Here is a 22,062-nt window from a genome sequence, read left to right on the forward strand (position 1 = left end):
CTCTGCTAACGTCCTCTTTTGCACACCGTGCTGTCGCTTCACTTGATCTTCACTTGGTGGGAACCTGTGTTTAGTCAGCCTCTTTTCTCACCTATTCTTTGTTATAAAAGTGGAAAGGATGGGGCCGACATGAATATAACACAAACAAAAAGCCGGCCGTGAGATTATTTGGTGGTACTCAGTGACACAGTTGCCACTTGATGATCTAGAACATACTTGTATTCTTTCTTTACATTATCATAAAAATGTTTTAAATTATTGTCAAAATGGAATAAAATTGAAAAATACTCCTGTATAAAACTGGAGAACAAGTCAAAGAGCAGCCTGGATGGAAATGTCTTAAGTGGCTTCAATTTGGGTCCGGCCGGATGTTCATATCACACTATTTACACACAGTCACTCCCATTCTCTGCCTACTCACAGCTTTAGCCCTGCAGAATATTAATTTTCTAAAGCATGATAACAACGTCTGTCATTCATGCAGCATTTAATGTCTCAGATACTATTATTTCCATTTTATTACATAACCCCTGTACAACCCAGTTCATTTCCTAACTCTGCTTGTTTTTTAGTGTTTACATTTCTACAGGGCTAAATATAATGATGTTGCTTTACCAACGGTCTTTTTTCTTCCTGTTATTGTTCATCTCCTTCCATCCCTGTGTTTTCTGGGACCTATAACTGTGCTCTCTGTTTCAATGGCTAAGATGTCTGATATTTAGAATCTCTCTTTGATGCTGTGAAGTTACCTTCTCCTCTCATTACTCTGAAACAACTTCAGGTTTACTGACTTCAAAGTGGAACATGCTCTTTGATGGCGATTTGCCATTAGCTTGATGTTCCTTCATGAAGAGATATTACTCCAGTTCCTTGGGCTGGAGGTTGGTACCAGGAAGATCAAAGCCCCGTGCCTGATTCCAGGAAGGGCCGGTGGGCGGTGCAGCTGCCATGCAATCTGCTGGCACCGTTAACTTCTGTAAACACATGCTGTTGGCTGTAAGGGACTACTAGTAAAAAAACCCAAACATGCAGACAGATAATATGTGACCACTGCTAACTAGCTAAAAGTAATTCATTAGAACAAGTGGACATCTACATTGTCTTTTTTTCCTTAGAAGAATAATTGTTCAAGTATGGTGATTTTATTTTTGTTGTTGACAGTAATACAATCCTTTATGACTTATGTTAATAATGGTAGTTTCAGTATTTTCCTTTGTATTTCCACTGCCCTGCTTGTTTTCTAGAACGTTGCTTATAATGACTTATAATATCCCTTCCACGCAGCATCTCTTCCCATTTATTTATTTATGTATTTATCAATTTATCTTTTTTTATTTTAAGAGGCAGGTTCTCATTATGTTGCCCAGGCTGGAGTGCAGTGGCTACAGGCACAATCCCACTGCTGATCAGCACGGGAGTCTTGACCTGCTTCATTTGGGAGCAGGGCTAGTTCACTCTTCCTTAAGCAACCTGATGGTCCTCCGCTCGGAGAGATCACCATTTGATGCTAAAATTTGTTCAGACACCTGATCATCATAGTGCACCCCTGGGCTCCATCGATCCTCTACCTCAGCCTCCTGAGTAGCTGGGACTGCCCAGCCCTAGTGTTATTAGCTTTTCTACACTTCATTTACAGTAATAGATTCATTATTCCTTTAAACTGTGTGTGTTTTCACAGACTCCTGGCTTACTCTATGCATTTATTTCTATTTCCACTTCTAGCCTGGGGATAGGTTGTAGGTTCTCCCAGAGTTGCTACTCAACTGCAGAATAAAGCCATGAGCACAGATGGCCTCGGGCCCTTCTTGACAGCTGTATTCTCCTGGTTTTCCATGCACCTTTGCATGCTACTCTTCTTGCCACTCCTTAAAGGCTAACATTATCCACAGATTGGTTGTAGGTCTTTTATCCTGCTCCCAAGCTCTCTCTGAGTCTTTTATCCACTTCCATGAGTTTTCAGTAGCATTTACACACTGTGGCTGATAACTTCCAAATAGACGTATCCGCAACCTACTCTGAGGAGTTCCAACCTCTGGTACCAACCTCTCTTCACTGGCCCTGTGAGCACTTAAAACTCAGTTGTCTATCTGCTCATTTTCCTTTGTTTTCCATCTTATAAAATGATACCAACAGCCACCTATTGACTGAAACCTGATTCTATCTCCTAAATGTTTTGAATTTCTTTCTCTTCCTCCAGTTTAGCCTAAATGAGCACCAGCCTCCTAAATCAGCTATTTGTCTCTGGTCTTGATCTTTCCAGTTTTTAGTCCACACAATAATCAGGATGATTCCTGGAAAAACATGCACATTCGATTGTTCAAACTCGATTGTTGAAACATGCTTAAAGCCACACCCAAGACACTAGGATTGTTTCCCAGAGGCCTTAGACAGAAAAATAAATTCCCTATGCTCTACTGCCTGTCCAGGCCTTTGAGGGCATCTCTCAAGAACAAAGGGGAACTCCCAGAATCTTAGGCCAGAACCCTATGAGTCCTTGACGCATCTATCTCTCTTGCCCTCCATGTCCAGTGAGTCACGAAATTCTGTATTCTTCCTTCCAAATTACACCTTGCATGATTTCAGCTCTCTTTAGCTCTACTACCGACTTAATCTAAACTTGGTGTCCCACAGATTATGGAAATTGCCTTCCAAGTTTGGGTCATTCTGTCTCTGTTCATAGCTGACTACATTATATTCTCCACACTGCAACTCAAGTTACCTTTTAAAAATGCAGAACTGATACAATTACGTCCCTGTTTAATACCATCAGTGGCTTTCCATTGTTCCTAAAACAACATCCAGACTCCCAGCAAGGCCTGAAGGAGCTTGTCCCTGAATAACTCTCCAGTGCCACCTCTTGCTGCCGTCACCTGCTACCTGTCCACTGTCAATTGTATCCAGCTTTTTACTGACTCAAAGCCTTTACGCCTGTGGTCTCCCCTGCTTGAAATGCTCCTTCCCTATGTTCTTGACTGGCTATTTACTCTTCCTCTTTTGGATCTTAGTTTAAATGATGCTTCCTAGGCCCTCACTCTACATTTGGTTCCTCATTATAAGTTCCCAGGAAGCCTATAGTATGACTTCATGTGCTATAGTCACTTTTTATAATGTATCTGTATCTGTCTTATTAGAGGCCTAATTTCCTTTTTCCTCATTAGCCTTCAGGCTACACTAGGGTAAGGTACATTCATTGCTGTAACATCAGCACCTAATACAGAGCCAGGAACATACTAAGTGCACCATAGCTTTGCATTGAGTGAATGAATGAATGAAGCAATTCAGAAAAAAAGTCTGACAGATGATAATAAAATCTGAATAATGAATCTAAATTTCAGATATTTATTTCTCTCTTATACTAGCCATCCAGGTAAGGCAGGTATCTTGGAGATTATATTGTTATAAAGTGTAGTATTAAAAATTGTAATAACTCTAGTAAAAATAGCGAATATAAGGTTTTACAGTTATGTTTCCATTCTTCCATCTGATATTTGATGCATCTTTATGTAGTAGAAAGGCAGTTATTAACACCCAGATGTTCCAAGTGAGCAATCTGAGAAGCCACACCAAGGGCCGGCAGTGCAGGAGCTACAAATAGTCACCAGAGACAGGGAGAGGACTCCAGTCCTCTGACTACCAATTCCATGTTCTTGATGGATAATAACTGCCGAGGTTTCATAAAGGATCATTATATTGATACTTGTTTTGATATATTGCTATATTGATTGATGGCGGCAGCTTCTTTTCTACTTTCAGAGAGACAGCATCAAGCTGCATTGTATTGTATATAAACATTTAGTTTTTGATTCTGTGCCTTCCTCCTTTTTATCATGCCAGCTTTAATTATCCTCAATTTCAGAGTTCTTTAAATCACTCCACTTTCTTTGATATTAATGCAAAAAATAGAACAGTCCTCTTCTTGTTGTTTTCTCAAGTGGTTAGTATCCTTTCCATCTCTTTAATTCCCAGTCCGCTAGTGCAGATTTTAAGGGCTTACATTCCACTCCATGCTAGTGTTTCAGTATTTTCATTAGATAACACTCAAACATGGCTTTTGTCTGATTCATGTTTCTGTTAAACTGAGATTGGGCTTCTATTCCTTTGTAAGTCACGGCAATAATTCATGAAGAAAAAAGAAAATGGTTAGTATTCAAGGTTGACTTCATAAATAACCAAGAAGAGCTTGGTTCACCACTTTTTTGGTCCCTTAGTGGCGGAAAATTTGGTGGGGGAGGGGGTCTGGGAGTGGTGGATTCCTTTTTAAAATTTTAATACTTGGAGCACAGCCGAGATAATTAACAGAATTCTAAAATGTTCTTTTCACGAAGATTTCTTTTATAATGTCCCAAGTGAAAATCATTTTTTATTACTCACAGGTAATTCTTTATTCATGCATTTTCTGTTACATTTTCTTATAACTTAGTCTTCAAATAGTTTTATATGTCATTCAGACTGTCTTACATAGCTATGCTATTACCAATCAGTCCTTTTCTTATTCATCATTCTAGCTTCACTTATAATTGGTTGAACCATATATTTGCCAGTTTTGTAGATCAAATACAGTTGAATATTAGCAGCTTCATCTGGATTAACTGAGTGCTGTACTGTTTTCTGTAGGAACAACAGATGGCAAGTGGAGGTTTCCGGTAAAACAAAACAAATAGAACAAATAGTGACTGGACAAAAGCAAATTTTATTTTCTCCCTTCCAAAATTTTACCTGTCCTTGATTAGAATTTGAGACATGGGAAATTTTCATAACTCCTGAGATGGTCCAAGTTTGTATTTCTTCATTGGTGTTCTAATGAAGTTAGAACTACCTACCTCTGTAAAGTTCCTTTAATTGTTTTATCACTTTTATATATACACGCTGTGCTAGTTTGCATCACTGGCACCAATTCTGCACCTGTTCCTTGCCAGTACCTGTGAGTGGCGTATGCTTCCCTGCCCCCTGATTTTTGAGCCAGCCAGTGACTTCCTTTGGCTAGTGGTAGGCAGAGTCAACTCTACAGTGTACCTACTGTCCTCCTTTGTGTCTACCATTAATAAGCATGCCTGAACTATGAATTCCAGTAAAATGAAAAGAGATACATGCTTTACATATTTTGAAGCTGTTTCATTAAATGCATATAGATTGGGAATTGTTTTATCTCCCTTAAAGTTGATTTTTTGTAATTATGAAATATCCTTGTTTATTTCTAATAATGCCTCCTGCATGTAAGTCTGCATTCTCTGATGATAGTACTGTATAGCTATGCCGGATTTCTTCTGATTATTGTTTTCATGGAATAACTTTTTCCATTCTTTACTTTCAAACTTTTTGTCTTCATATGTAAGGACTCTTTCTTTATTATTTAAACCGAATCTGGAAATCATTGAGTTTTAGTTGTTATATTTAGTCCACTTATATTAAATGTAATTACTGACATATGTGAAATTGTAGCTGACATGTTACTCTCTGTTTTATATTTGGTTCACTTGTTTTATACTCCTTTTTCTCTCCTCTTCTTTTGGGTTAATCAAGTTTAATTTTTCCAGTTTTTCCACTATTGTTTGCTGTTCTAATTTTGTTCCCCCAGGTACTTGAGCTACTACTTTTATCACTTTCCAAACAATACTAGGATGTAAGTACAACTTATGTTAGTTTAGTTAAACTCTTCCCACCATGTGTGCTATGTTGACACATTTTAGTTTCATACATACATGTGTATATGTGTACATATATTTTTAATCACAAAATTTAATATAATTTTGTTTGCAATCAGTATTCACTTGAATCTACTCACATATTTACTTTCTCTGCATTTTCATGCTCTTTCTGAATCAAATTCTTTCAGCTAGAAAGACTCCTTTTAATATTTGTCTTAGCCCAGTTCTACTGGTAATAAATTGTCATATAGCTTTTGTTTGCTTGAAAATTGTCTTTATTTTATGTGAACTTCTGAAGGCTGTTTCAGCTTGCTGGAGAATACGGTCTGTAGTTATTTTCTTTCGGCCTTTTAAAGATGGCATTCTATTGTTTTCATGATATTTATTAAGAAATCAATAGGTAATTGATTTTTATCCTATAAGGGAAATGTGTATTTTTCTTCTGGTTACTTTTGAGAATTTATTCTTTGTCTTTGATTTTCAGCAGTTTTGCCTTGATGTGGCTATTTTAGTTTTCACTGAATTTGTCCTCTTTGGATTTCACTAAATTTCTTTTTTCTGTGCATTGATTATTAGATTGGGTAATTCTTCACTGTTACTTCTTCAAAATATTGCCTCTGTCTCGCATTTCCTTTCCTCCTTTCTGAGACTCCAATTACATCTGTCTGAGATGTTTGTATCTTATTTTCTTTCTTTGTCTCTCTCTTTCTCCCTCCTCCTGCTTCTCTCTCTCCCTCTCCTCTTTCATCTTTTCTTTCTATTTATGCTGCAGTCTAGACATTGTGTACTGCTTTATCTTCTATACTACTAATCAGATCTTCTGCTGTGACCAATCTGTTGTTGAATATGCCAGTGAGCTATTAATTTTAGTTATTGCGATTTTCAGTTTGGGAATTTCTGTTCATGTATCCTAGTGAAACTCCTTATCTTGCTCTCTATTTTCCTGGAAATATTAATTACAGTTATTTTAAAGATTTTTCGTTAACTTCAATATCTGGATTATCTCTTGATCTTTTCCATTGTCTGGTTTTTGTTTCCGTTTTGATGTCTGATAATTTTGGCTGAATTCTGGACATGTTGGACAGAAATTTGTAGAGGCTAGAGAAGACAAAGTGATCCCCCAGTGAATCCCCACCACAGCCTCTGATAGGCTTCTAGATTAGGCACAGTTGTTAATTCAAATCAGCATTTAACTGACTCAGTGCAGCGTCTCAGTCCCCATGAGGCCTAGTTGATATCTTATATCTGGAGTACAATGCTTCACTAGTCCCAACTGAGATTTGAAGGCCTTTGCCAAAACATTTTTTTGAAAATCTCTGAATTCTGCCATCTGACTCCTAATTGTGATGAGTCTACAGAGACCCCTGCTTCGTGACCCAGCCTCATAGCTGTCCTGTCACTTTCTGCTTGGCCACCTTGTCTCTTGCCCATTGCTCCTTGGGAGTTGACCAGTGCTTCAAGGGTAAAAGCAGAAAGAGTGTTCTGAGCTTGTCTTCTAAGATCTTTACATTCTTGAGTCCTGGCAGTCATAGTAGATCTTTAAAACTTTCAAGAAGATTATTTAAACTTTACTTGGTACACATTTTCTACTTGTCCTTGGTAGGAAGTGTAGTCTTCTGAATGTTTGCTTGTCATAACTGAAAATATAACTAACTGCATTTCTTTTAATGCCATGGGAAATGTATTGAAGAAAACAAAGTGTATATAATTTTTTCATATAATAATGTGTTTATAATACAATCTACTTAATATTTTGGAAAATTATTTTTCTGTAAAACACTGAAGTGCTAATTAAATTTCAATAAATATTTTTTAAAAATAAATAAAGCCGGTCACAGTGGCTCATGCCTGTAATCCCAGGACTTTAGGAGGCCAAGGCAGGCAGATTACTTGATTGCCCAGCCTGGGCAACACAGCAAAACTCCATCTCTACAAAAAATACAAAAATTATCTGGACATGGTGGTGTGTGCCTGTAGTCCCAGCTACTCAGTAGGCTGAGGTGTGAGGGTCGCTTGATCCCAGTGAGGTCAAGGCTGCAGTGAGCCAAGATCATGCCACTGTACTCCAGCCTGCGTGGCAGAGTGAGACCTTGTCTCAAAAAAAATAAAAATTTGTAATAAAAAAGTAAAATAAATAGAAACTCAAAATAAGATGAAAAAGTAAATCCATGTCCATCAGAAATAAGTAAGTTGAAGAATTGGAATGTGAACCTACTCACAGAGGATTCCAGACTCTGTGCAATCAACTATCTTTACCAGGAAATGGGAGAAGGAGAAAAGAGAGAGGAAAGAAAAGAAATAGAGAGGAAAGATCATGCATGAAAATTAAAGATAGAGATCAAGGCCTTTACTGAGAATGCAGAACCAAGGCCTGTTTTCCCTAAGTTCCTCTTATTATGCCCAGAAGGAAAGAAAATATGTGAGTGAATAAAGGCAAATATTTCCTAGGAAAGCTTTGTGTATTCATCGATTGCAGGATTCAATATTCTTATCATCCTCCCCGAATTGATCTACGGAATCCCAATACATCTATTCTAACTTATTATTATATTAAAATGAATCATCACTAGTCTTTAGAGAAATAAAATCACAATGAGAAACCACTATACACCTAGCAGAAAGGCTAAAATTAAAAAGGGTGGAAACACCAAGTGTTTGGCAAAGATATGGAATTCTCATACATTGCTGGTGGGAAATGTGAAAATGATACTATCACTTTGGAAAACAATTTGGCATTCTTCTAAGCTAAATATACACTTAATATATAGCTCAGCAATTCCACTCCCATGTATTTACCCAGCAGAAATGAATGCATATGTCAACATAAAGATGTATGTGTGAATGTTCCTAGCAGCTTTATTTATAAGAGTTTAAACCTGGAAACAGTTCAAATGTCTATCAGCAGGTAAATGGATAAACAAGTTGTCAAACAGTTGAATACCCCAAGCAATAAGAAAGAACAGACTGTTGATATATGCAACAGCATGTGTGTATCTCAAAAATGTTACACTTAGCAAGGAACTCAGACACAAAAGAACACATACACGATACAATTTTATGAAATTTTGGAACTGACAAAACTAATCTGTAGTTACGGAATGTAGATCATTGGTTTCCTGGGTCTGGGTCTGGGTCTCGGTGACAGTGTTGGGAGTTTGATGCAAATGGCAATTAGTGAGTTGATATGAAATTGCCTACACCTTGATTCTTTGGCAATAACGTAGGTATATATATTTGTTAAAACTCATTGAACTATAACCTTAAATTTATTGAATATAAATTATAACTCTATGAAAATGATATTTATGTTTCCATATTGGCAATTGTGGGTTTTGTTGTTGTTTTTTTGAGAGGGAGTCTCTCTCTGTTGCCCAGGCTGGAGTGCAGTGGAGCAATCCTGGCTCACTGCAACCTCTGCCTCCTGGGTTCAAGCTATTCTCCCACCTCAGCCTCCTGAGTAGCTGAGATCACAGGCATGCACCACTACACCCAGCTGATTTTTTTGTATTTTTAGTAGAAATTTTACCATGTTGCCCAGGCTGGTCTTGAACTCCTGACCTCAAATGATACACCTGCCTTTGCCTCCTAAAGTGCTAGGATTACAGTGTGAGCCACTGTGCCTCACCCCATATTGGAATTAATATTCAATTTATTTAGAGAGTAAACCTCTGTAATTTGCCCATTATCCCTGATAAATCATCCTGAAGCCTTTGTGTCATCACAGCTACCTAGTTAGCTTATTAAATATGCAAACCCCTGGGTCTCAACCACAGAAATCCTGATTCCTGGTCTGGTTGAGGCTCACGTTCTAAAGTCTCCAAGTGGTCACTCCTAGTCAATCTGAGTGAAGGTGATTGATAGAACACTTTAAGAAAATTTCTGTGGAATCGTGTTTTTTTTTTTTTTCTTTTGTAAGACATCAGTGTTTGCACCCTATGGAATCTTGCTGTTTTCAAGCAATGTTTTCCTCTCAATGTTGATGTTTCCCCTGAAAAGGCAGTACAAGGTAGGATGGGGATGAGACATGCCTGTGCTTAGAATGACAGTGAGAAGTAGAAAAGTAGTAATGAGAAGCCAGATTTAAGAGTACATTCTGGGTGTGAAAAATGTGAAAGTAGGCCAGGTGGGGTGGCTTATGCCTGTAATCCCAACACTTTGTGAAGCTGAGGTGGGCAGATTGCTTGAGCCCAGGAATTCAAGACCAGCCTTGGCATCATAGTGAGACCCCCATCTCTAGAAAAAAAGTAAAAAATTAACCAGGCATTGTAGTGCATGCCTATAATCCCAGCTACTTGGGAGGCTGAGGCTGGAGGATCACTTGAGCCCAGGAGTTCAAGGCTGCAGTGAGCTATGAAGGTACCACTGCACTACAGCATGGGCAACGGAGTGAGTCTCTGTTTCTAATAAAAGTAAAATGTGAAGATAAAATATGGCGTAAGGAAATAAAGGAAATAACAACTCAAAATTACTTATGTCTTAGCTTTTCAGAGGCGTCATACTTTGCAGGAGTCTAAAGCAGGTAGACTCCTTCCTTATCCTTTCTTAGAAGTCATTCTGGACCAGATGCCTGTTTACAGAAGCATCACTGTGAATGTGGCAGAAACAATCATATTTCAGGATTATATGTCCTCTTTTCCATACTGTGGGATCCTTAAAAGTAATTCATTGTCTTCTGCATTTTTATCTTTCACCTGCATATGGAAGGCTTTCAGTGAATATTAGCTGTATGAATGAGGACATAACACATTTTAGCAAAATTACTTCTGACACAGTTCTTCCTTGTATGACAAAGTTCTTTATCTGCAAGAATTCGTATTTGGGAACTTTGTGAACACATCTGTCCTTAGCTTTTCCGGTATTCTTTGAGGAAGTGTGACAAAAACATTATAATTGCACCAATAATCTTCAAGTATCATTTAAAAACTCTCGTGGTCCTCTAACACAAGAAAATGAGATAGATATATTAATACTTCTGAGTAAGATTTAGGTTACCAGTGATTGAAGTGAGTCAGCCCAGGAACAAGCTGGCTGGCAGAGAAGGAGCTGTGTAAGTGTGGATGAATGGTTGTAAATCTCTTTTTCCTGGTGGAAACTGAAGATTTCCTAGGTCCTTCAAAAATTAAATCTGCTATCATTTTAAGCTGTCTACTTTCCTATATATCCCCTATGTGCTATTTTAAACTCATTTCCACCTCTTTTTCTGCCCAGTGCCCTGACAATAATAATGAAGCAGTCGTTCACTGAAGGTACCCCATGTGCCCAGCACTGTTGTAAAAGTACAAATACTAACTCATTTAACCCTCACAACGATCTTGTGAGAGAGGAGTGTATGTGTTCTCACTTCACTTATGAGTAGACTGAGGCAGAGAGAGGCTATGTAACTTTTCCAGGATGGAGTCAGGATTCAAGCCCACACAGTATATACTCTAGTGTACTAGAAAATGTGGCTCCTGATCTAATGGTGACAGACTAACATGTCAGGGGTCCACATTGCTAATACTGATCGAGATTCAGCAATCAAAACTATAATCTTAATTAATAAAGCTAATAATTATAAACTAAATTCATATAAAATTAGAAAAGCACTTCCTGCTTTAAACCACAAGCTAAGTTTTCTTTATTCATTTTGGATAGCAAGGCTTTCATTCTGAAAACTTTGAGGAACGTTGGATTTTATCGTAAACATAATAAGTGACATTAATTTTCCAGTATTCCACTACATTTCCTATTTATATAATTGAATTTCATACAAAGGATTTTTTCCAACAGATTTCTGAGAAAAGATTATATTAAATGTGTTACTGGAATTATTTTATTTTAGTGTATTATTCAAATATATATTGTAGGGGAATATTTGCATTGATTATGGCTAGGTAGAACTGTTCTTTCTTGAAATGGGGTCTTGCTGTGTTGCCCAGGCTGGGGTGCAGTGACACAAGCACTGCTCACTGCAGCCTCCACCTCCCGAGCTCAAGCGATCCTCCCACCTCCCCCTTCCAAGTAGCTGGGAATATAAGCAAGTGCGACCAGTCTTGCCATGCTGCCCAGGCTGGTCTCGAACTCTTGGGCCCAAGTGATCTGCCCGCGTCAGCCTCCCAAAGGGCTGGGATTACAAGCATGAGCCACTGCACCTGACCAGCTGGGAGAACTTTTCTTTGCTCTTGCAAGTGTTTTAAAATGCTAAAAGTATGACTTTTGTGGACAAGTGAGAAGAGAGTTTACCTTTTAGCATTACTTCTAAAGACCAAGACTTGAAATTTTGCTTCTCCAGTGGGAGGATCTTATTCAAGAGGGACTACATGGGAGTTGTCCCTCTCCAGTGCTGATCTTGGTGGGCTCATTACTGTTGACTTATTGAACTCAATGCTTTCCATCCCAAACATCATTTTTTGTTTCATATTTTTATGTATTGACTTCATAAATCATAGAATGTTTTATGATTTTTAGAAAGTTTGGATTTACAATTCATTAATCTGCTTTTATTTTAAAATATGCATAATGAGCTATAAGTATATTCTTAAATTTCTAGATACAAGCACTAGCGATTACAATAAAGAAAAAATCAAGGTATTAGCTAAAGAACAAAAGAGTTTCAAGGTCATTGCTTTATGTCTCTTTTACTTGATAAGTTTTTTACTATTCTATTTGCCTGAGGGAAACATTCCAGGAACTGTACTTCACATGCCTTAGAAGATCAATACTGCTGTTGGAGAGTAATAGTAAACATAGAATGAGAAAAAGAAATGTATAGGTTGCAATAATCCAGAAAAAACCTTTTCGGGAAGAAAACTTTGTTAGTCAACTAAAAAAAAATAGCTCAAATATTAGCATTTTCTTTAAGCAACAAATAAAGACATGATTATAAGTATAAGGGAAGTGCTAAAAATGTGAAAGTCTGTAGTCAATCTTTTTCAAGTTTCCCTTAGTTCATGGCCAGGGAATAATAATCTTAGATGTCTTCATTTACATTTGACAGAGAGTTTTGTTTTTATCATGAACACATAATAAGTTATGTAACAAGGAATAATTGTTTAATTTACACATATTTTACTCAGAATGTGCTTATTCATCATGCACTTGATACATTAATTCCTTGTAAGTACATTAACCCAATGTGAGAAAATCAAACTTCTAAATTTTAAAATGATACATAAAATGGAGAACTTTTGAAGTGCAGTTTATTATATGTATTTCAGATACTGTGAATGAAATGGATAGCCATGCAAAAAGTACTAGTAATATTTTTGTGAAATTAAATATAATTAAACAATGCCATCTTATTGGCTTGAATGACATCAGCTCATCAGCTTCAAATAGTTTCATATTTCACTAGGTTTTCATGCATCTTCATTTATTAAATAAATATATTTTTCAAAGGACAATTGCTTATTTTTCTTTTTACTTTTAAAAAGAAGAGATTTTCTGGGTAATATTAATTTCTTCATGTGATTTTGACAAATATTATCAAATATTATTTTATATTACTGATAAAATGAAACAACTTGTTTTTTGATGAGCTGAACATATGTGACATTTATAGTGAATTTATAAGACCCTGACAGAGTGCTGAGAGAGTGTGGCAGCATTGGAGTTCTGACAAGCTACAGCAGGAAGAACCAAAACAGAGGTGTTAAGGCCATGCTCTCTCAACAAAGCATCCAAGAAAACAAAACCTCTGTGCCTTTGTCAGTCAGGGCTCTCCAGAGAAACAGAACCAATAGGATGTCTGTGTGCCTGTGTGTGTGTGTGTGTGTGTGTGTATGTGTGTGTGTGTGTAGAGAGAGAGAGAGAGTTTTAAGGAATTGGCTTACCTGATTGTAAGGACTGGCAAGTCCTAGGTAAGAGGTGATATTGCAGCTGGAGTCCAGAGGTTGTCTGGAGGCAAAATTCCTTCTTTCCTAGAGAACTTCAGTTTTCTTTCTTTCTCTTACAGCCTTCAACTGATTGGATGAGGCCCACCCACGTTATAGAGTTTAACCTGCTTTACTCAATGTTTACTGATTTAATATTGGTTACCTCTAAAAAATACCTGCACTGCAACATCAAGACTAGTGTTTGACCAAAAGCTGTTTACCATGGCCTAGCCAAGTTGACACATTGCAGTGCCCATTAGCAGTACCATTAGCTGAGGGTTGAGAAAAATATTACATGTCAGCTCATTTAAAATACATTTATTACATGTCTAAAGCAGTAATTAATAAGTATGATATGTGTTTCTGTATCTTTACAGACAAAATCTTTAGTAAAGTAGGTACATGTGTAAGAATTAAGAGAAGCCAAAGCTACTGGGAATGAACAAAGGTATTTAAATTGAGTGACACTGATATTTAATATAAGAGTGACCTTAAAATAAATAATTTATGTAGTGAAATATGACTTCTTTCCTGAGTGTTTTTAATCAAACAGAATGAGAAGAAATGGGCTGCTCTAAAGATAAGAGCCATTGGGAGTAGATTAATAAAAGCATTTCTAGATGATGAAGTTTGAGAAAATGTTAGAAAAATCTAACAGTGGGTATTACATATATCAACTCCTGATGCCACCAGAAAATATATTATTGTCAGTTGTTTCCTTCAGTGAATGGCTTAGAAATACAATGTGTGTCTATGTGTGTGTGGTGTGGCATATGGATGCACACATTTTCAATGTGCTACTGTATGGCATATTTATATTTAGAATTGCTTTTTAATATCTTCTTTCCTAGAATCTGAGGTGGTTTATTTTGATGGACAAAGTGCTCTGCTGTATACACTTGATAAAAAACCTTTAAAACCAATAAGAGATGTTATTTCTTTGAAATTTAAAGCCATGCAGAGCAATGGAATTCTACTTCACAGAGAAGGACAACATGGAAATCACATTACTCTGGAATTAATTAAAAGAAAGCTTGTCTTTTTTCTTAATTCAGGTAAAAAAATACTTGAACTTTATACCAGTAGTTAAAAAAAATCTGTTTACATTTGTTGGTACTCAGTCTTTTCACAGTTAGATAAAATGACCATATAATTCATCATCTAAACCAGAACACCTTTAAGAAATAAAAAATACACAAGTGATAGTTACTCTGGGACAGTAAGTGCAAAGTAGAACTGCAATGAACAAATGTAAATGAAAGTTTAAGAGCATTACTACCAGATGCATGCAATACATATCCTAAGTATGATTTCTGTAAACAGCATATATTTTGACAAACTGTGCAAGATCACCATATGTGTGTATAATATATATGTAATATATGATTATCCATATCATAAAGACAATACATCATTATAAAATTATGAGATAATGCTGATAATGAGGTTCTAAGAAAGAAAATATTTGCAATGTAAATCCAAATGTCATGAGTAATAGAAAAAATACTAAGAAAAATTTCAACAAAGTGTAGAATTGAACTTAAAAAAATAAAAACAGGGTAAGGTTATTGTGTTCAAGATAGGGAGAAAGTGAGAAAACAACTCTGTAAGATGGAAAGTTGGATGCAAACTGTGATGCTCAACTAAAAAAGGGAAGCCGTGATTTTGAACAGAAATAACTGTTTTTTTCCTTCTCCTTTTAAGGCAATGCTAAGCTGCCTTCCACTATTGCTCCTGTGACCCTCACCCTGGGCAGCCTGCTGGATGACCAGCACTGGCATTCCGTCCTCATCGAGCTCCTCCACACGCAGGTCAACTTCACTGTGGACAAACACACTCATCATTTCCAAGCAAAGGGAGATTCCAGTAACTTGGATCTTAATTTTGAGGTTATTATAGATATATAGTTTAAATTAAATATAACCTGAAAAATAAGGTAGCTGCATAGAGAAATGCCATTTTATAGTAATTCATAACTAAGTTGACTAATAGTAATAGGTATGTCTGTCCCGGTACTATGAAACTGTTTATGCCTTCTAATAGGTCAGTTTATTATAATAGATCAACTTTTCCACCTTGAAAAGAAGTAAACAGTCAGTGTTAGGAAATCCACAAATGCAGAAATACCAAGGTAGCATTGTTATTAAATGTACTCATTTGAATATATTTCATTTGAAATTTCATCTGGTATATTACACTTGTTGTTTGACTATGCAGATTCCTGGGGGATTTTTTTTCTTGTCTTGGTGCAATCCTAACCAACATAGCATTATTTAGGATCACTTTGAGAAGTTAACAAGATAAACACCAATAGATTTATTAAATAACAAGAAAGTCAGATGCTCACATATAAATAATATCCTGATATTTTTTAAGTCATTAATGCTTTTTGCAACCCATTGCCCATATGTATCTAAGCTACACTGTTAAATAGCATCTATTCTTCCAGTCCTTCACAGGACACCTTAAAGTGTATGAAGGATCAGAACAAACCAGAAAAACTGTGATATTTACTGGCATAAGTGGCTTTGGCATATAATATTAAACTGAAGATCCTAGTCCTATACTGGATTATTCAGTTTTATTACTTTAATTTAACCATGTAATAGCAAAAGATAATATCTAATGCAGAGGTTGGCAAACTGGGCATCAGGCCAAGTTTGGACATTTTTTAATTAAAAAAATACAAAGCCTGTTTTTGTTCAAAAGAGAAGGTTTTATTGGAACATATTCTCTTTCTTTATGTGTTGTCCGTGGCCACATTGGTACTTCGTGTCAGAGTTGAGTGCTGCAAAAGAGATCATATGACCCACAAAGGGTAAATTTAACTACATGGCTGAAAATTTCAACGTGGCAGAAAATGTGTGTTGACTTCTTCCTTTTAAGTTTGTTCAAAACTGTGTGGTGCCAGAAATAAAGGTATTAACAGCTGCCATTATGATAGAACACTTCATTTGGAATAAGCAAGCATGCAAATATAAGATAATGGGAATGGATTTGTGACAATTAGTACTAGACCTATTAATTTATAAATGCTTTAAACACGTACCATCAGAAAATCACTAAACAATGTTATTTATGTCATTTTTCTTTCTAAGATCAGCTTTGGGGGAATTCCGACACCCGGAAGATCGCGGGCATTCACACGTAAAAGCTTTCATGGGTGTTTAGAAAATCTTTATTATAATGGAGTGGATGTTACCGAATTAGCCAAGAAACACAAACCACAGATCCTCATGATGGTAAGGAAGCCTAATGGGAAGGAAAGAAAAAAGGACATTTTATTTTTTGCATTTAAAAATTATTCATGTGAAGTCTCCATTTCATCTAATATTTTAAGAATCAGTTCTTACTTTAACAGCTGCCCATGTAATATAGTAATTTAGTTTTATTTATTTATTTATTTTTTTGAGACAGAGTCTCTCTCTTGTCTCCCAGGTTGGAGTGCAGCGGCGCAATCTCAGCTTACTGCAGCTTACGCCTCCCAGGTTCAAGCAATTCTCCTGCCTCAGCCTCCTGAGTAGCTGGAATTACAGGCGCCCGCCACCATGCCCAGCTAATTTTTGTACTTTTAGTAGAGACGGGGTTTCGCCATGTTGGCCAGGCTAGTCTCGAATTCCTGACCTCAGGTGATCTGCCTGCCTCGGCCTCCCAAAGTGCTGGGATTACAGGTGTGAGCCACCGGGCCTGGCCAATTTTTTTTTTTTTTTTTTTTTTTTTTTTTGAGACGGAGTCTCACTCTGTCACCCAGACTGGAGTGCAGTGGCACGATCTTGGCTCACTGCAAGCTCTGCCTCCTGGGTTCACGCCATTCTCCCGCCTCAGCCTCCCGAGTACCTGGGACTACAGGTGCCCACCAGCATGCCCGGCTTTTTGTATTTTTAGTAGAGACGGGGTTTCACCATGTTAGCCAGGATGGTCTCGATTTCCCAACCTCATGATCTGCCCACCTTGGCCTCCCAAAGTGATAGGACCACAGGCGCACTTTTTTTGTTTTTGTTTTTGTTTTTGTTTTGAGATGCAGTCTTGCTCTGTTGCCCAGGCTGGAGTGCAGCGGTACAGTCTTGGCTCACTGCAACCTCTGCCTCCTGGGTTCAAGCCATTCTCCTGCCTCAGCCTCCTGAGTAGCTGGGACTACAGGTGTGTGCCACCACACCTGGCTAATTTTTTTTAGTACAGACAGGGTTTTGCCACATTGGCCAGGCTGGTCTCAAACTCCTGACCTCAGACGATACACTCGCCTCGGCCTCCCAAAATGCTGGGATTACAGGCATGAGCCACCTTACCCAGCCTAATATAGTAATTTTTATTATGCATAAAAAGTTATAAAGTAAATATGCCTCATGGGACATCATTGTTTCATTTTTATATGAAATAAAGTAACTTTCTATTTTTACATGGAAATCAGAATTCATATGTCTCACGTGTTTTTGGTGTTGTTATCCACAGGAGACCAATCATTTTGCAATGGCAGTCCCTAATGATCTATTCCCTAATCAACTGGAAATACTTCCAAATCAGTTAATAAACTTCTTTCAATGTTTAAAGTTTGAAATATCTAAGTTGGGTTAAAGGGAAAGCTCATGTTTAGTTGTCAGTGTATCTCAGCAGCACATCATGGGAATATTTATTTGTATTGTTGGAAACATGTTTTCTTTCCTGTTATGTGCTGGAGGAGTTGGCTCATGGGTTGCAGGACCAAAACCTGAAAATATCTCTGACTGTGTGTCACCAGACCACACAATGAATACATCACTTAGGTTAGCATGAGAAAAGGGGAAAAACAGCTGTGAAGCCCATGAACTTTCCAAGAAGGTAAAGGAGAAAAAAAAAAAAAGTTGGGTTTGAAGTCTAAGTTTTACTATGAACAGCACCCTGCTGAGATCATAAAAATGAAAAATACCATCAAGATACATGAAAAAGGAAACACCAAAGGGAAGAGTGATAACAAGGCTCCACAGAGCGCAGTTTCCTTTGACAAGATGAAAAAGAAATGAAAAGAGGAAGGAGATAAATGGAACAGCCCTCTACCTAAAGTTTCTGTCCATGGAGAAACTGACATTTAAGTGCTGCTCAACAGGAAAAAGAAAAAAGACCTGGTTATTGAAGTTGGCTTTGTTGGAGATGCGTTACTCAGATACAGATACAAAGATGGGTTTGGCCAATGGGCATCCGTGTCAAGAAGCCTGACCTAACACGTTCTGAATATTAAGCTACCTTTTATCTGCCAGTCCTTGGTGTTCAGAAGAATCCCTCCTCCTCACCCTAACTTCTATGGGGCTATTTCCAAAGACACTGTCATTGAAGTGAGGAAGAGTGAGTTGGGCCTTATGACACAAAGAGACAAGACTATTTGAGGACAATAGACACAGGTTTTCATATACATTCCATGTTATTCTGAATTACTGATGGGTTCACTGATGGAATTATTGAGTATAGCCAATAAGGAGAACCACAGTTAAGCTGGTGTCTCTGGGTTCTGGACATCATCCTCAAGAAAACTATTTACTAATTACATTGAATGAGGTTATTAAAATGTGTAAGTTTCACACAAAAACAAAAAGACAATTCATTCCAAATTGTGCATATGGATATATAATGTTAATTATGGGAATTCCATTTTAAGAATTACTACAATTCTATGTGTTCTGTATAAAAACAGGAAAATAGTTGTTCCAATATATAAAAGGAAAACATTTAAAAATGTATTTTCTTGGGAAAATCAGTTGCCAGAATTCATTAGTCAACTAACAAGCACTCCTCTGTGGCAAGAAGCCCTGCTTCTCTGTTGTAGCAGGCAGCTACCCACCTAAATGATGAGGTCAAGAAATATACAGCTGATAAAAAGATAAAAAATATGTAATAGTCCAGTGATTACATGTGTACTACGGATCAGCGCCAATTAGTTGTAAGCTTTTGGTATTTAGTTCGTTACAGCAAATGTTTTCTTTTTTAAATTTTCTTCTGCAAATGTTTTCTTGTCATGAAAACTGTTTTCCATTTAGCAGAATTACAAAAATAGTCAAGAAGAAATGTTCTGATTGATGTATACAGTTAGAATGTGTATTAAAGATTATTATAAAATGATAACTGAATTATATCCATTTCTAAAGTATGTTGGGACAAAATTTTTTAAACATGTGATTCTGTTTTGAAAATTGTTTTACCACTGGATCAGTGTGGTTCTTAAACTTGGCTTTATCTTGGAGTCACCAGAGGAGATTCAAAAGATACCTTTACCTGGCTCCACCTCCAGAGATCGGGATTTTAAATGGTCTGTATCTGGATTTTAAGAGCCCTTCTGGTGATTCGACTGTTTAGCTAGGTTTGAGAGCCACTACCCTAGATGAGCTGTCCTGCTCCAGTAACATTCTTTTTCTAAAATCATTTATAGTATATTAGAAATAAATCCATGGAAATTCCAAGTAAAATCAGAATTACTGTGGTTTTTCTCTGGAACTGAAATTCCTATGTGTGAATAATGCCCAAGAATTGCTTATTCCTTTCACCAGCCAAACAAAGCAAAACAAACAAACAAACAAAAACCATTTAAAAACCTAGTAAGATGTTGACTTACCAGATATTAAAGCATGCTAAAAGCTTCTATACTAGAATCAGTATGGTAGTGGATAGGAACAGAGAAGTCAGTAGAACAGTCAAGATCTCAGAAAGATCCCAGTTTATGTGCAAAGTTGTTAGTAACAAGGAATGTGGCTCAATTCAGTGGAACAGGGATGAATTATTTCTGAAATTCTGCCGGAACAAACAAGTGTCCATAAGGCAGAAAATAAGCATGATCACTATCTTATACACACTAAGAATATGTAAATTAAAGAGGATGAGAAACAAACAACAATCTTAAAGAAAATCTATGAGGTTGTATGTAGGACCTAGGGTAGTATGAAACTTTCTTAACGAAGATTGGAAACTCAGAAGCTGTAAAATACAATATAGACATAATTGACTATATAAAAACATCAATGTTTTCATGCTAAAAATACTATATGCAAACATTGTATATAACTATTAGATCTGAAAACCATTTGAAAGGCTGTCAAATATAACTTTCCAACAGCTAAAAATATGACCAATACAAATATCAAATAAGCATGTGTCAAAGATTTAGTCAATTCGTTAATGAGGGAACCAGTAAAATAGTAAGCTGGTTCAATAGAGATTTTGAGGATTGTGTAGAGAAGACCAAATGTTGCTCAGGAGAAAGACTGAGTATGAAAATGTCCTGTTATTTGCTGTATCCTCAGGGCTAGCACAGGGCCTGGAAAATAGCTGGCATAGATTAAACTCCTGTTGAACTAAAATTATATTGAGACTCCTTTACTAATGCTGAGAAGTAGAGAAGTGGAGAATTTCTCACACACATACAGAAAGCCACATGGATGTCTGCCCAATTATAATAATACTTATGTTGAAAGAGAAGATAAATGTCATAGATTTCAGCTTTAGCAGGCAGACTAATCCTGGATTGATAAAAAGCCTTGTACGTCTTCGTAAAATCTGGCTTTAATTAGATAGAAGCACCACCTGTAAGGCTGCTCAATGTGCTCTTTTGTTTTATTTATAGGGAAATGTGTCCTTCTCATGTCCACAGCCACAGACTGTCCCTGTGACTTTTCTGAGCTCCAGGAGTTATCTGGCTCTGCCAGGCAACTCTGGGGAGGACAAAGTGTCTGTCACTTTTCAATTTTGAACGTGGAACAGAGCAGGACATTTGCTTTTCGGCGAACTTCAACGTGGTTCAGGGAGTTTCGTCCTCTTTCTTAAGGATGGCAAGCTCAAACTGAGTCTCTTCCAGGCGGGACAGTCACCAAGGAATGTCACAGCAGGTAAGAGTTGTATTCCCATAAACCTGACATATCCACACGGAAATCATTTGGTAATTAGTGAGTGAGTGAGGCAGTGAGATGCTCCATGCCCCCACTAGAGGAACAGATTGCTGCTTCCTTTTAGACTGTTCTGTGTGGTACACCCCGCTGCCACTAAAGTGTTCTTTTGACCAAAATGACTATATATGAGAAATATGAAATGCATATTTCTGCAGATGTACCTTCCCATATACAAGGAATACCCTTGAGCTCCATTTCCTGACAAACATATACCAGCCTCCATCCCAAAGAACTAGGGTCAGGACCTCATGGAACAGACAATACCTAGAGGCACATTCCTCTCCTGTCCTCCTTCTCCTTTCCCTTCTCCGCCCTGCCGCTCAGGGTCTGTGCACAAATATTCTATACACAGTAGGCAATTGATAACTATCACTTTACAGGGAAAGATGCCCGGCAAATACCAAGAGTTCTTATTCTTTCATTGATGGCTGATTCGTTTTCTGGGATAGCCGGGCACCCTGGAAGAATCTCAGCTCCTCCACTTACTGCCCTTCTGAAATGTAAATCACGAAGCCTCCTAAGCCTCAGCTGTTTTCACTTGTGAAGTGGTAAACCTCAGATCTCCTTTGCAGGGAGAACAATAGGAAGTCTGATTTTATTAGCACAATGCCCACCCCACACACAGGCCCTCACATCCGCACTCCCCATCAGGGCCTGTTT

General features: G+C 37.3%; 3 pseudogenes across 1 annotated transcript in view; 2 read left to right on the top strand and 1 right to left on the bottom strand.

Annotated features, from left to right (window-relative positions):
• The window catches only part of CNTNAP3P2 (CNTNAP3 pseudogene 2), a 237,697-nt pseudogene that overhangs the window by 114,976 nt on the left and 100,659 nt on the right, over positions 1-22,062 (top strand). The window contains exons 5-8 of the transcript NR_111893.2: positions 14,350-14,553; positions 15,203-15,387; positions 16,597-16,740; positions 21,081-21,342. The product of NR_111893.2 is annotated as a CNTNAP3 pseudogene 2 (transcript). The remainder of the gene's footprint in view (positions 1-14,349; positions 14,554-15,202; positions 15,388-16,596; positions 16,741-21,080; positions 21,343-22,062) is intronic.
• Positions 1,340-1,593, bottom strand: RN7SL422P (RNA, 7SL, cytoplasmic 422, pseudogene; annotated as a pseudogene).
• On the top strand, positions 18,152-18,973 carry LOC100421690 (NSA2 ribosome biogenesis homolog (S. cerevisiae) pseudogene; annotated as a pseudogene).

The sequence above is a fragment of the Homo sapiens genome, chromosome 9, assembly GCF_000001405.40.
Source record: "Homo sapiens chromosome 9, GRCh38.p14 Primary Assembly".
Classification (NCBI taxonomy): Eukaryota; Metazoa; Chordata; class Mammalia; order Primates; family Hominidae; genus Homo; species Homo sapiens.